At 41.0% G+C, this 15,599-nt stretch overlaps 1 long non-coding RNA gene across 1 annotated transcript in view, besides 1 other annotated feature; it reads left to right on the forward strand.

Moving 5' to 3' along the window:
* Positions 14,017–14,146: an enhancer, noted in NCBI's record as "active region_20847". NCBI's record gives its function as "activates an Ori minimal core promoter by ATAC-STARR-seq in GM12878 lymphoblastoid cells {active_cell/tissue: GM12878}" and the evidence as "EXISTENCE:reporter gene assay evidence [ECO:0000049][PMID:35858748]".
* The window catches only part of LINC00578 (long intergenic non-protein coding RNA 578), a 310,784-nt gene continuing 309,303 nt past the window's right edge, over positions 14,119–15,599 (forward strand). Inside the window, exon 1 of the long non-coding RNA NR_047568.1 lies at positions 14,119–14,308. This is a non-coding gene — a long non-coding RNA (long intergenic non-protein coding RNA 578). The remainder of the gene's footprint in view (positions 14,309–15,599) is intronic.

Consider the following 15,599-nt stretch of genomic DNA (forward strand, 5'->3'; position numbering starts at 1 on the left):
TAAATGAGTATAGACTTTAGAGTTTAATAAGTTTCACTCAAAGTCAGGCCTCAGCCCTTACTGGATGTGTGATCTTTGGTAAAGCATAGGCAAGCCTTGTGAGGTTGAGTGTGTTTGTACATTTTACCTTTTAGGATAATATTTTACCTTTTAGGCTGGTTGAAGGTTAAATAAAATGCGATTTCCCTTGCTTGTTCCCTGTGGGATATTAAATCATCCCTTCACTTCTCTGGATTGTATCTCAATGGGAAAATGACAATGACAGGGGCTTCTACCCAGTGGGGTCACTGATGTGCTCTCTTTGGGACTCTGAAGTTCTGAGCTATGCCTTAGCAAGCAGATTATGCAATCTGTGCAGGGGGCTGGGCTGGGGATGGACACAAGATCAAACCTACACTATGGTGACGGTGGGGATGGGCAGGGGCAGGATGAAGAGACGGGCTGAGAGCTGGGCTTTTCCTTATGCCTGAAAAACATTTTTTCACAATGTTTAAAGGGAATATAAGAAAGAAATCTGATTGATGGTTGCATATTTTTGGTATTGCAGAAATAAGAGAAATTGTCTAGTAAAAACAATCTTAGATAAAAAACAGTGTTAAATCTCTTTTTCTTCAAATACACGAATGTTAGTCCATGTTTTCAATTTGAGACAATTTTTTTTTTTACGGAGTCTCACTCTGTCGCTCAGGCTGGAGTGCAGTGGTGCGATCTCGGCTCACTGCAACCTTTGCCTCCTGGGTTCAAGCGATTCTCCTGCCTCAGCCTCTTGAGTAGCTGGGACTACAGGCGCCTGCCCACCACGCCCAGCTAATTTTTGTATTTTTAGTAGAGACGGGGTTTCACTATGTTGGCCAGGCTGGTCTTGAACTCCTGACGTCAGGTGATCTGCCTGCCTCGGCCTCCCAAAGTACTGGGATTACAGGCATGGGCCACCATGCCTGGCTGAGACAATTTTTTTTTTGTCGCCCAGGCTGGAGTGCAGTGGTGTGATCTCGCTCACTGCAAACTCTGCCTCCCGGGTTCATGCCATTCTCCTGCCTCAGCCTCCTGAGTAGCTGGGACTACAGGCGCCTCCCACGACGCCTGGCTAATGTTTTGTATTTTTAGTAGAGATGAGGTTTCACCGTGTTAGCCAGGATGGTCTCGATCTCCTGACCTTGTGATCTGCCTGCCTGGGCCTCCCAAAGGACATTTTTTTTTTAAATGACAAGGAATAGAAATCCACTAGCTCAAGTTCAGAAAGGCAGTTGGTGGAGGATGGGGTTAAGTAAACTCAAAGAATCCAACTGGAACTGGGAACTAGAAATCAGAAATGAGGCTATTTTCACTGTCTCTGTGGAGTTTGTTTCTTTAAGTTCTCTCTGGTGCCTTTCTTGACCTACTCTCCCTGCTTGCCCGTCTTGCAGGACACTATAGGCCCCAGCTTTGCATCATAGCCTTTGGGCTCAGTACCCACTACAGCCTATCTTTATGTCCTGTTTGCTCAGATTTGAAGAAAGAGGATCTTACTGGTCAGTGTTTAGAAAGCAAATTGGCTGGCTTTTGCTTATATGTCCATCCTAAAACTGGTTACATGGCAGTTTTCTAGAAGGAACTGCAAGAGAGACAGTCAATAAAATTGCATTTGGGAAATTATTTCACCCAATAATACATGGTGAGTATGTAGAATGAAAGTGGTTATCTGGCTACCTCTTTGCATTTAGGAGGACAAGGGTGGGGGATGGAAAAGTTTGAAGCTCAATGCAGAGGAGCTAATAGACAATAGACAGTCTGTCTCAATTCTAGGGGATACAAATCTGGGGGTGGGGAAAAGAGAAATCTCCTTTTTTCTTGTACCTAAAGTAATGCACATTCTCTAAGTCAGTAGTTCCCAGACCTTGAGAGCTCTTGGAGTAATAGAATTAGAAAAAATCAGGGACTGACATAGGTTGTGGATTTTATATTTTGCCAAGTAAAATATCTTAAGCCCTTCACAATTACTATCTTTTTTTATCATTTCATAAAACAACAAAAAAAGTATTTCCAAAGAAATGCAAAGGACATACAGACTACAGAATAGTTCTCTAAATTAAATAGATTTAGCCTTATGACAAATCAACTATATTGTCCTTATTTACTTCCTCTCACTCCATGCAAACTGTTAAAAATTTCATCACGGGCTGATGCTTGTAGGCTGACTTGTGTGTGGGAACTGTTGCTGTAGTTTATAAGGAGGGACACATAGGTCATAGAAGGTTAGAGTAAGTCATCTAGTGACAAGATGAAAAAAACTGAGCCGTATTTGATCATTCATTCATTAGACAAATATGTGTTGAGTACCACTATGTGGTTCATAGATATTTAATAACTTATTTAAGAATACTAATTAATTTTTGTTAGTTAATTGCAGGATTGGGCAAAAAATTAGTAATCTTTCTTCTTATGCCTTTCAAATTGGATGGATATGGGGAGATTAAACCCAATTATTAAACATGCTGGAGCAAGACTTTTAAAAACAGGGGTCAGATCCAAACTAAACCTCCAGAAAAAAAGTTGAACTATCCATAACCATTCAAATGTAAAGAAATTGCATTTGCCAATGTCCTGAGATGTAAAAACCGGAATCATTTTGATGAAGTGAAATCTTTAATTTAAAATTTCTTTTACTTTTTAATCTTCGGTTAACACTACTTATATAAATGCATATATGTGGAAACCCTTTTTATTTCAAGGAAGAGTGCTTATATAGCTGTGTTTTTGTACAGAATCATTTCCCCCCTCATTCTTCAGGGCACTGTATCATTTATGTGAGTGTCTGGAAATTTCCTAATTCTTAAGATTTCTGATCATGACCACATTTCATTCAGGTGGTGCTCCTCTTCAGATAAAAAAGTTTGAATAAAACCTTTATCTTTGTTTGACAGAGAGAAAAAGTAAAGGCAGAGTGTCCCAATTCTCTCAGTTTCCATTAACTTTAAACGGAAGCTTTGCCTGTGGAAAGGAAGATAGTCTGATGGCAAGGAGACTGAGGAGATTAAGTGGCTTTCACACCACCATGTAGGATGTCATTCACTGAATACCTAGATAACCTGATTTCCAGATCCACACTGAGCTATCTGCTCCACTCCATGCTGTCAGTAAGGGTCCTGATTTACTCTGGGACCTTTGCCTACCTTCCAGTTGAGTTACAGGGCAAGCGATTTGCACTTTAATGTAGTTGCAAAGTCGGTGAACGTCGTTCCTCTGTGTTCCATTCCCATTGCTAAATGTCATTCATATGTTTCTGGGCCATTTCCCCCCTCTTAAATGCATTTATAGGATTGAAGAATTTACATGAAACTATGTTTGGCTTTAAATGATGAGGAATTTAGTAAATGCAGAAAAAAACCATAAGCACAATGAAAAATCACCAGTAACCCCATTTCCCAAAGCAAACCACTGTTAGCACTTTGGCATATAGCCTTTTCCTACCCTGTAAAATAGAAAAAAAAAAAGATGTTATTTAGAACAGCAGTGACTAAAGAAGCATCTGCATTCTGGAGGAGTGGCATAATTCATCTCGGGTGCGTTTTTTTGTGTGTTTTTTTTTTTTTTTTTTTTTTTTTCAGGCCAGCAATTACTCAGGAGTAATTCTGAATATGGACAACAGAATCCAGATAAACCTCATATTTGAAAAGCCAAATTTAAGACTTGACACATACATCCAAAGATAGGTATTAATCCACAGTTTGCAAGAAGTAAGAATTAGCACCCTATACAAGAAACAAAAAAGGAGAAACAATAATTCAGTCAAATTGTGGCATTGTATCTATTTACGCACAGCAACAACTACCTCTGTTTATTGTCATGCTCATTCAGGTTATAAGAGTGTTACTGCTTTTTGGCTTTACATCTTGTAATACAGTGGTTCCCCACCACCCCCTCCATTGTGATCAAGGACTGAAGCGGCGGGGGGGAAGAGAGAGACTTAGTGAGCCATGACACAATTAAGATTTTGCATTGTAATGTCTCTCTGGTTTGTTGTGTTTTGTCAAAGACATGCCTGGTATCTATTGTTTTTATTATTTCCAGCTGTCCTAATTATTTCTCTCATTTGATTTTAATTCAGCTTTCAAAGAGGAGCTGGCTTGCCAGGTGGTTACTATTTTTTCTAAACTCTTTCAGCTCTAATTAAAAAAGACGTCCAAAGAAAGTCATTATTTCAGCATTTACTTGTAACATATTTATGACCCCATTGAAGAGGGAGTCACGTGTTCTCAGGCTGATTTCTATTGTTTGCACTGCACTCAGGCTCAAGGAGATAAGAAATAGGCACAGCCTTCGGAATGAGTGTGAATTTCTTCTTAAAGGAAAAAAAAAGCTGCTTTCTTCACTGGAAAGAAATAAAACGTTGTAATAAGGCAAATGTCGCATATAAATACCCTTAAAAAAGTAGTCCAAATTAAGATTCATTGCTGCTTAAACTTTTAGTTTTCATGAGCTAGGTTTATTTGTGTTAGATTTTAATAACTGAAATACTAAAGTTGGTGAAAAAGGATATAAAAGGCTGGATCTAGGGACAAAGGGGAACATGAGGCCAAGTTCAGCTCCTTAGGGTTTGTTGGGCCATTTATTGATTTATTTATCTTTGGGAAGTGAAACAAATAAGTAAATTTTCTCATTATTAATTAACAGGTCAATTATCATCTGCTCTGCAGTTTCCTTTGGGAGAGGCAGAGCCCTGCATTCACAGATGTTTTCCCATCTTTACTCCATCAACCTTCTCCCCAACTTGCCTCATTGCCGAAGGGTAATCTCAGTCCCATCTGGATCTATCCTCTTCACCCTTGCCATGTGCCCCCGATGCCTCTTCACTAACTTCCTTGGCTATCCTGTCACATCTAGGCACCACCACCTTTCACTCCTCCTAATGTCTTTTTTTTTTTTTTTTTTTTTGTGAGACAGAGTCTTGCTCTGTTGCCCAGACTGGAGTGCAGTGGTACAATCTTTGCTCACTGCAACTTTCGCCTCCCAGGTTCAAGCAATTCTCATGCCTCAGCCTCCCGGGTAGCTGGGACTATGGGCATGCACTATCATGCCTGGCTAATTTTTGTATTTTAGTAGAGACTGGGTTTCACCATGTTGCCCAGGCTGGTCTTGAACTCCTGAGTTCAGGCAATCCACCTGCTTCGGCCTCCCAAAGTGCAGGGATTACAGGCCTGAGCCACCACACCTGGCCACTCCTCCTAATTTCAAGTCTGATTGCTCAGTGGTGAAGGAGACACAAATGTTACTACAGACAGTCCCAGGCTCACAATGGTTCAACTTCACAATATTTTCGACTTAGGATGGGTTTATCAGGATGGAACCCCATAGTAAGTAGAGGAACATCTGTACCTTGAAAGTTGGACTTATGGGGTCTCCCAGAGGCCTTGGTATACTCAAATATTTCACAATATAGTCAGCAGCCTGTGCTGCCCCAGGGAGGGTGGGCTCCCGTATAGGCATCTGCATTGCTCCCGTTAACTTCGTTAGAAGCATCTACCAATTTGTGCTGAGCACATGAAAGAGCTGGTGAAATTCCTTGATGCTCTCAGCCTGCTTTAATGCACACGTATTAAAATTACTTAGCAACAGGGAATCATGTCAAGATGGAGGCCCGCTGAGCCATGGTGTTATTTTTTTGTAAAATGGGGGCTCTGAGAGATGGGGCGGATGTGAGGGTTCAATAGTATATGTTTCAAAGCAGGCTTCAATAGATAGAAGATCCTGTCCCTTCCACCCCCAGGTAGGTATTCCAACCTCAAATTATTTCTCTAGGGTAGGTCAGTGGAAAGTGTGGGTAGAGTCCTTGGGTATTGTAGTGTTGTTACTTGAGGCTATATGTGTCCCTGCTAGACTCATCCTTGCAAATGGAAGTCACGACTTACGAATAACTTCCAAAGTGTTCTAGGAATGCTTGGGCTAAGACAGTCATTTAAACTTTTAAAAAAGAAACCTAGACTGAGCGCGGTGGCTCACGCCTGTAATCTCAGCACTTTGGGAGGCTGAGGCGGGCAGATCATGAGGTCAAGAGATCAAGACCATCCTGGCCAACATGGTGAAATCCCGTCTCTACTAAAAATACAAAAATTAGCTGGGTGTGGTGGTGCACACCTGTAATCCCAGCTGCTCGGGAGGCTGAGGCAGGAGAATCACTTGAACCCAGAAGGTGGAAGTTATAGTGAACAGAGATGGTGCCACTGCACTTCAGCCTGGTGATAGAGTGAGACTCTGTCTCAAAAAAAAAAAAAGAAACCTAAGGCTAGAATTATGGACATGACCTTTTCCCTCTCTTTGAGGAATAGGAGGATAGTTTCTGGAAGAAAGAGCTCAATGCATAAAAACAGTCCTGCACTCAGAATTGTAAAATGTGTGTTTGAACTGGTTCTAGATGTAGTTTTAAATATTAGCCCTGACACAAGTCGAGTACCATTTTTGTCCTTTCACACAGAAAAACACCCAGGCTTATCTGATTCAGGCTCAGCACAGCCACGTGTGCCCAGGCACATCCATGCTTCCCATCAGTCATAGCCAGCGGCAGGCTGCTCCCCTCGTGAGCAGTGGCCCAGGCCAACCACCTCACCTGCTTCCTTTGCTCCACTGTGACCAAGAATGTCTCCATCCTGATTTCTAGGACTCCTCCTTAACCCAGGACTGAGAATCCTACCTGCCCTCCCTTAGCGAGCACCCAGCTAGTGGTTGAGGAGGAGATTAGAGGCAGGTGGTGGTTTCTTGTTGTTCACTTGTAGGAGGACTCGGATTCTCGCTATACTGAACTGGGCACCTCAAAAACTCCATCTCCCTGGCTCCCCAACTCCTGTCATTTGGAAGCAAAGGTCTAATTACCAGAATCTCCAGGTTTCTGGAACTGCCATCCAGAAATGATTCTGGGAGAATATCTTTGTAGCACAGCCTAGATAGAAATAATCGTCTAATCTTGGATTTACATAAAAAGATAATTTTGTACTCCATTGCAATTTCTAAAATAATTTTTAAAAACTGTGCACTTAAAGCTATTTTTTGCATATGTACGTGATAATGGATATGAGGACCTTTACTTAATGCTGTTTTAGGCATATGTGTGTGGTAACAGTACAATGGCTTTTGTGAATAAATTAAAATGTAATTATTTGCTAATAACCTAGAGCAGCTTTCTCACCTCGGGCTTTTCACCCTTTTGTGCCAGCTTAACTTCTGCTCCTCTTCCGGTCCCTTCCTCAAGGAGGCCTTCCCTTACTCTCTGGGCCAGGTGACTTCCCTCTGCCGTGCTTATTATTATTATTATTATTATTATTATTACCTGAGACACAGTCTCGCTCTGTCACCTAGGCTATAGTGCAGTCATGCGATCTCGGCTCACTGCAATCTCCGCCTCCCGGGTTCACGCCATTCTCCTGGCTTAGCCTCCTGAGTAGTGGGGACTACAGGCGCCCCCCATCAAGCCCGGCTAATTTTTTGTATTTTTAGTAAAGACTGGGTTTCGTCATGTTGGCCAGGCTGATCTGGAACTCCTGACCTCAGGTGATCCACCTGCCTCTGCCTCCCAAAGTGCTGGGATCACAGACGTGAGCCACTGCACCTGGCCATGTGCTTATTATTTTAATTTTTACTAATTATTATTAAAGACTTATTAGTGTCAAAGAAGCAGCCAAGAGGCTCCGGGATCATATGGCACACATTTGAGTCTTGGCTGTGTCTCTTATTTGCTTTGTGATGTTGGGTAATTTGTTTCAGTTTTCTGTGTCTCACTTTCCCTACATATAAAATAAAGTAATGAAAGTATATACCTGTAGAGTTGTAGCAAGAACTAAATAAAAAATACTCCAGAAAAATTCACACAGAGCCCGGCACATAGAATACTTCCATAAATGCAAACTATAAAATGTCCTTATTGCCCACTAGACTGAACTGTAAGCTTCATGAGAGGAGGCTTTATGTTTGTCTTGCTCATGACTCTGAAGGGCTGAGAGCCTACTGCTTACTGATTGCTTAAATGATGACTAAAAGAAACACCTTTTCTTGCACTTACCTGGGTCCCTAGACTTCCAGAAATCAAATTTGTTGAGTGAATCTCAACAAGAAGCTATCTAAGGTTGGAAGCTTAATTTAGTCTTATTATTAGTTTTACTCTTTTGTTATTATTTTTATTAATATATTAATGCATCTTTAATATCTTTAAGATAACATCTCGTATCATACCTTTATCATAACTTTCCTGCCCCCTCCCCAGAATCTTATTGATATGTTGTATAAAAGGAATAGTGGCCAGGTGCAGTGGCTCATGCCTGTAATCCCAACACTTTGGGAGGCCAACATAGGTGGATCACTTGAGGTCAGGAGTTCCAGACCAGCTTGGCCAACACTTGGCCAACATGGGGAAACTCTGTCTCTACTAAAAATACAAAAATTAGCTGGGCGTGGTAGTGCGTTCCTGTAATCCCAGCTACTTGGGAGGCTGACGCAGGAGAATCGCTTGAACCTGGGGGCGGAGGTTGTAAGGTTGCAGTGAGCCAGGATGGCACCACTGCACTCCAGCCTGGGCGACAGAGCGAGACTCTGTCTCAAAAAAAAAAAAAAAAAAAAAGAAAAGAAAAGAAAAGAAAATATCTTCAGGAGTTCGAGACCAGCATGTCTAACATAGCAAAATCCCGTCTCAACTAAAAATACTAATATTAGCTGGGCATGGTGGCATCCTAGCTACTCAAGAGGCTGAAGCAGGAGAGTTGCTTGAGCCTGGGAGGTGGAGGTTGCAGTGAGCTGAGATCGCACCACTGCACTCCAGCCTGGGCAATAGGATGAGACTCCAACTCAAAAAAAAAAGAAAAAGTAAAAGAAAAAGAAAATAGATAACACATTATTAATCAAAGTTTATAGTTTACATTAGGGTTCACCTTTGGTATTTATTCTATGGATTTGACAAAAGTATAGTACCATGTATCTTCCATTATAAATACAAAGTTGCATTTCTTTTTCTACTTCTTGGTTCATATCACTCTTAAGAAGTAGTCAGAGCTCTTCCTGGTCACAGCTCTTGAGCCCAATATACCATCTGCCTCCTCCTCCTATTTTAGCCATCTCAAATCTTTTATAGACTCACAGCCTCAAATGTGTTGGCACTGAATAGGACCTTAGGGATCCAAGGCCAGCTCCATCATTTTACAGATGAGAAAATTGAGCCTCAGAAAGGGAAGTAATTGCCCAGCATCCGGAGCTAGTTAATGGAAGGGCTGAGACCAGACCACTGGACTCTTAATTGAGCTCTCCTGCCAATATGCCACACCCCCATTGCTTTGCATTGACATCACTCAACTTTTTAAAAATTTTCTTTAACACATTATAGATCTTCTTTTACTAGAGAACATTAACATTTCCTTTAAGAGATGTTAAACTGACCAGGTTTTCTTGCTTTCTTTTTCTTCTTTTTTCTTACTTAGGGAATCTATTTAGGTTACTCTTTGGGTCTGAATCGGGTCTGTAGAACTGAATTGCTTGGTGAAGTTAGGCCAATATTCAGCTAGAAAATAACCCACATAAGTTGTGCAGTGTTCTGCTCAGACAGTTAGCAATGATGCCCCAAATTCCCAAATCATACAGGGAGCATTGAGATCCAACATTTAGCCTTTCTAAAATGAATTTTAGATAGTCTTTTCCTGGAACAGTCTCTTAAGGATTGCTTTGATAGTTATATGGAAAAAAAGATACAATGCTACTGATTTAAATAGAAGACAGATTAAGAATCTGAAGTGTCATTATATCTTTTAGCAGGCAAACTCACAAATGGAGTAAGTTTCGAAATAGAATTTGCTGATTGAAATGAGTGAGAAACATTTATAACTTTAGTATCAGAGAATGCTCTGGTATAAAAACCTAGGCTATCTTTTAGGGAAGTTACATGTTTCCGCCTTGAGCAGGGTCATCCAACCTCTTCCAAGGCCACATGGTGGCTGATCAGAAGGGACAGGTCATTTCCAGCTCACTCACACATTATACCAAGAAGACATTACATTTATTCATCAACTAAAAATCACTAATAACATGTTATTAAAAAATAGCAATGAAACCCCAAGCAATAAGAAAAAGCGATCTTTGTGTTCAAAGCTTAAGACATGATAAAAGTCATAAATTGCTAAACTTATGTAATATCCATTAAAAAAATTATCTAACTGTCACAGCAGAGACCAATTTTTCACCACGCAAAATGTGACATCATCTCTAAAGGCCCCTGCTACGAGAGGCATTTGCCAGTATTGTGGGTGTATTCTTAAAGGCTAATTAAAAACTTTCAGCCCTTAGGTTTCAACACTACAGTTTTGCTACAGCAAAGTGAGATAGGGAAACTTAAGTCTGATGGGCTATGCCAGATGCCAAGGGGCAAAGTTCCAGGCTCTCTTATAATCCAATTGACACATGCAATATTTATTACAGAGCAGCAGGAGTTCATGATTTCATCAATAGGCTGGCAGATTAGATGATTTTTTTTCAATTGAATAACTGGTCTACAATAATGGAATTCTATATCAGGTGTGGAATAAGCCAGTGGTCTGTTCTTTTATACCTCCAGTTAGTGCAGTAAACAAGGTGCCAGAATGGCGTGCTGTACGGGATGGAAAGAACATGCCCTTTTAATGGTTTCCAATAGTGGTTTTGATAGTTACTTGAGATCATAAAGCAAACATTAAAAGGGCTACCTTTGCCAGATTTCGTGTGCTTGGGTGACGAGAATGTATAGCTATGGCAAAAAAAAAAAAAAATTAAGGCAGCTATAAGGGGGTGGCTCTGTTTCTTTCTTCAGAGTAATGTTAACATTTTCTCCATATTTCCTGAATAATTTGCCCTTAACAAGCTAGGAATGTTGATTCCTACACATACAATTGGAGTGGATGCTGTGTATAAATTCAGGATGCTCTGGTACCTTCAGGTTCTCCCAAAAATCAGGGGAGATACTAAAAATATTTAACTGCTAGTAAGATACAAAATGACCAATCGAATTGGATCCCGGCCAGGATGCTTTACCTGCAGGCAGAATGTAAGCCCTGCCAGGCCTTCTGTTGAGACATCTTGGGATTTGGCGGTTTTCATCTCTGAACCCACCGATGTCGGGAGGATGCTCAGATGACTCCGAATCTGGGAATTGCCCCAGAGTTGCATGTTCATTTCCTGCATATTTTTGTGTTATGGGTTAAAAAAGCATGAACAGCATGGCATTTTAGTAAGAACTCTGGATGAAATGACCACAACAGTTTGCATTCATGTCCCAACTCTGCTACTTGCCAACCGCATGACTGTGAACAGTACACATGCTCTCCCACTTAACTATAGAATGAAGGAATTGGATGAAAATTCTCCTTTGCTCCACAGTTCATTTCAGCTTCACACTCATGCCTGCTTGGAGATAATTAATAAAACCTTCCAGCTTTCTGGCTTGTGAAAGTGCATAGTCTCCTGCCAGTGGAAATTTCTGATTGTTATGCAGTGTCACCCCAGAGATGTACTTGCTTTACCTTCACGAGATCCATATTTCTGCTGGGTGAGTACTATTAGCTAAAAAATTTGTCAGGTGTTCAGTGTTTTCTTCTATCTTACAATCTTCCATATCATGTCACATGAAATTGGCACAATTTCTTAAGTGGGAAACATTAAATGTCTAGGCCTTTAGACCATGCCTCTGAAGGAGAAATGCCACATGGGCAGAAAGTTTTGAAGCAAGTGTGCTGGAGTGAACTGTTGATCTCTTTGCTGTACTGCCAGCCTTATTATGCACATTTTGAAAGAGGAATAAGTTGACTAATTATGTCACTTTTCTTGTGTTTCTTAAAAGTCATTGAGCACAAAAGAACTGGCCTCGATCTATCCATTACTCTAAGCAGTGGCAAGCAAAGACTTCTATCTACTTCTAGTCTCTGCCCAACTGCCATGATGGCCAGCCCTGCTCCAACCCTGCTCCACCAACCCTGCTCCTCCTTGCTACTGCTTTTTACTGAGGGTTAAAAATGTCCATTGCCTGACAATTGTTGTGAGGAAGAAAAACTGTTCCTGCCTTCATCACATGTGGGTAGGTGGACAGGGGCTTGCTTGCCAAGTCCAAATCTTTGTGTGGGGTAAATTACTCCTTACACTGATCGTAAAATAAGCATCTGACATTTCCTGCAAATGCTCTATTTCTTAATACAGAGTTAACCTGCCAAAAACATTGTGTTTATAATCTAAATATTTGGATCATAAGCCAAAAGGGTGGGGGAGTCTGTCTTCCTCCATATTTTGCACAGTGACATGTCTAAAAATGTTAATTATGATAATAATAAATAATCAGAAAAGAATACGTTGGAGGGAAAGTATGAGGAGTCTGGGAGGCTAAATTGCATTAGTTATGAGAATTATTTACGGGAGAAAAATGAAGAGATGCCTCTGGATTGCCCATCCCCTTGCAGATATTTTCCTAGTTTTCATACCCACAAGACATGCTTCATTCTGGGACAGGTGAAAGTGTTGTAAAGACTGATGCCGGGGTATCGGCTGGAACACCACTCAGAAGGTACAAAGCTTCCTGAAGGTCTAGTGGGGATTATGTTTTGTCTGGGAACAGGTTGAAAACCCAGAGCACTGTCTCTGGAGTCAGACGGACTTGGGTTTGGGTCAAGATTCTAACAGTTCTAAGTGGCCTCTCCTAGCCCATTTCCTCATCTCTGTTACAGGGTTAGTAAATGCTTCTGTGTCAAAGGGCTTGTATGAGCGTTGAATGAGATTGTGCACAGAAAATACTTGGCATGATACTTGCATGCAGAAGAACTCAACAAATGTAATGATGGTGGCGAGGATCACTGGAATCTCCCTCCTTTAATTGACAGCTGCGCTGGGCCTTCCCTGATGCTCGGGACCTGGTGCCCGGGGCATGCCTTCTGTTGTGCCTTCACTCCTGCAGAGGCATGCCTGCTTCTTTCGTGGACCATATGTCTCTTTTTCTGAGACAGCCTCAGCTTCAAATATTCTGATCCATTGTTTCCACAAATCAGTGAATTAACAGAGAAGTCCAGTATTTGATATATAGTAACTGAATGACTCAGGTCAATAATACAATAAAAACATGTGTCACCAAAAAATGAGTCACAGGCTGAAGAATTGATACATTAATGGGGACACATGTGTGCATGCTAGCCCACATTCGATACAATGATGTGTGTGAATGTGCTGTTGTTTTAGCTGTAAAGGTGAAGAATATTATACTTTTAAAATCTTGCCACATTAGGGGCAATGCTGAGGTGATGGACTGTAATGGGGTGGCTAAACGGTGACTATTTCTACTTGCTACTGAATGCACTTGGGGAATTTAAAATAAGTTTGAAATTGTTTCAGAGGGTCAGAATTATTTTCGTTAAAATTTTAATTTAATTTTATTTTAACATCAAAATGCAGAATGATTGCTAAAATTTGATTGGATAAGACATTTTATAAGAATTCACAAAATCAGACCAGACCAAATTTAATCTTGAAACGGTGTCTAGACTTTTTATTTGGAAATTATGATTAACATATTGCTAATCAAAATTCCTGAAGCAGAGGCCTTTGTCTATACTGAAGACTTACAAAGGAGAGTGAGATGTATTTATTTGAGATGATGGCCACAAAGCCCATGTGGCTTGCATTTGATAGAATGATAATGGAGTAGCATTCTTAAGCCTGTGATTAATTGCAACAAGCCTTGGAAAGCTACTTGAAAAACTATGCTTTGTTTATAGTATTTATTTCTTTGATTCAAGAATTGTTCCAGTTGCAAAACTCTCCTAGGGCACATGTTCAAATGATTAATATATTATTTATATGGAAAATAACCTAGAATAACAACTAAACTAAAAGCAAATAGTTGCCTTAGTACCAACCTATGGCACAAGACCAATTAGGATAAAAAGAAGATGAGATCCCCTTCTTGGCTTTGTGTTCATACATGGTGAGGTATCCTCAGAACTATGTGTGATGGTACCCCTCTGGAGGCTGAGATAGAAAGTTCCTTAATGATGGAGACTAACAATCTTTAGCAGCAAAGGAAGAGACTGGGCGTTTTATACATATATGGTCATGATTTGGAGACTTGTGAGGAAGGCCAAAGTGGATTGGCTGTGGTCTCGGTGTAGCACGATGGAATCTGGTGGCTTAAACCTAGCTGTCCACATTTCACTATCTGAAGAGCAGAAAATGTGTTAATAGGAGCCTGGTGAGTGGAGGAGACTGAAGATGGAGAGAGAGCCTGGACCTCAACATGAGCATCTGGAGCCATTTGGCAGCATTAGGCTGTGACCGCTTAGAGAACCGAAAGGTAAGATCCTCCGATTAGTTCCTCTTTTTCTGAGTTTATGTTTGCAAAGCACTTTCTAACTATAAAAGTTTCCTATTTCAGTTTTCAAATAGGGAGAATCTGCACTGACCAATGTTTGGTGTGTTCATCAACTTGGTTATAGTTGTCAGTGTAAATTAACTCACTGTCTGGATAGAGGGGAGAATGAAATGACTTATTCTGTGCCAAAGAGAGACAGAGTGAAAAACAGACTTCAGAAGGCTTGAAACTCAGGCCTGTTCTCTGTCTCTAACATGCTTTCATTAGCCTGTAGAAGCTTGAGAGACGCACAGACACATCTTGCAACATCTTCTGGCTTCTCGATGTGCATTTATGTGAGTGTGGGAGCCATGCGTGTGTGTATGCTGGGAGAGGAACCCCCATCTCCTCCTCCCCGGCAATGTCCCCGCTCTCTTTAGATCCTTATGAGTTGACTCAGTTCCCATGGATGGATGCTGTGTGCAGAAGCGGGCCACTGGCCCTGGGCTCCACAGCTGGCTTCAAGCTCTGATCTCTGTGTTCATTTCTCTCTGTAATCTCAGTCCCAGCAGACCTCTCATCTTCCTGGGTGATTGAGTGTAGATTCTAGTTTTATTCTTTTAACATTTTTATTTACTGATGAAGGAAAATCCTAATTTATTTTCTATTGGGAAAAAAAATATGGACCAACCCCATAAAACCAGAACATTGGCAACTACTGCCATTTTGAATCCCAGTTCTACAGAGTTTGGAGATTTATTAAATTTTTCTAGTTAAAAGAGACCTTAGAGACCTTCGAGTCCACATGAGAACAAAAGAAATATATTTTATATTGCAAAATGCACACACATCCACCCACCAACACAAACAAATATTCATACAGACACACACAACTGAAAAGTTTTTTTCTTTTTGAGATGGAGTCTCACTCTTTCACCCAGGCTGTAGTGCCGTGGTGAGATCTTGGCTCACTGCAAGCTCCGCCTCCCGGATTCAGGCCATTCTCCTGCCTCAGCCTCCCGTGTAGCTGGGACTACAGGCGCCCACCACCACACCCAGCTAATTTTGTTTTTGTATTTTTAGTGGAGACAGGGTTTCACTGTGTTAGCCAGGATGGTCTCGATCTCCTGACCTCGTGATCCACCCGCCTCAGCATCCCAAAGTGCTGGGATTATAGGCATGAGCCTCCGCACCTGGCCAATAAAAGTTTTTAATGAAATAAACTGCTTACTGTATGGGGTTTATATTGATATTTTCTATTCTATTTCATGAAAACTACTACTGGTCACTAACC

This window comes from Homo sapiens, chromosome 3 (assembly GCF_000001405.40).
Source record: "Homo sapiens chromosome 3, GRCh38.p14 Primary Assembly".
Taxonomy (NCBI): Eukaryota; Metazoa; Chordata; class Mammalia; order Primates; family Hominidae; genus Homo; species Homo sapiens.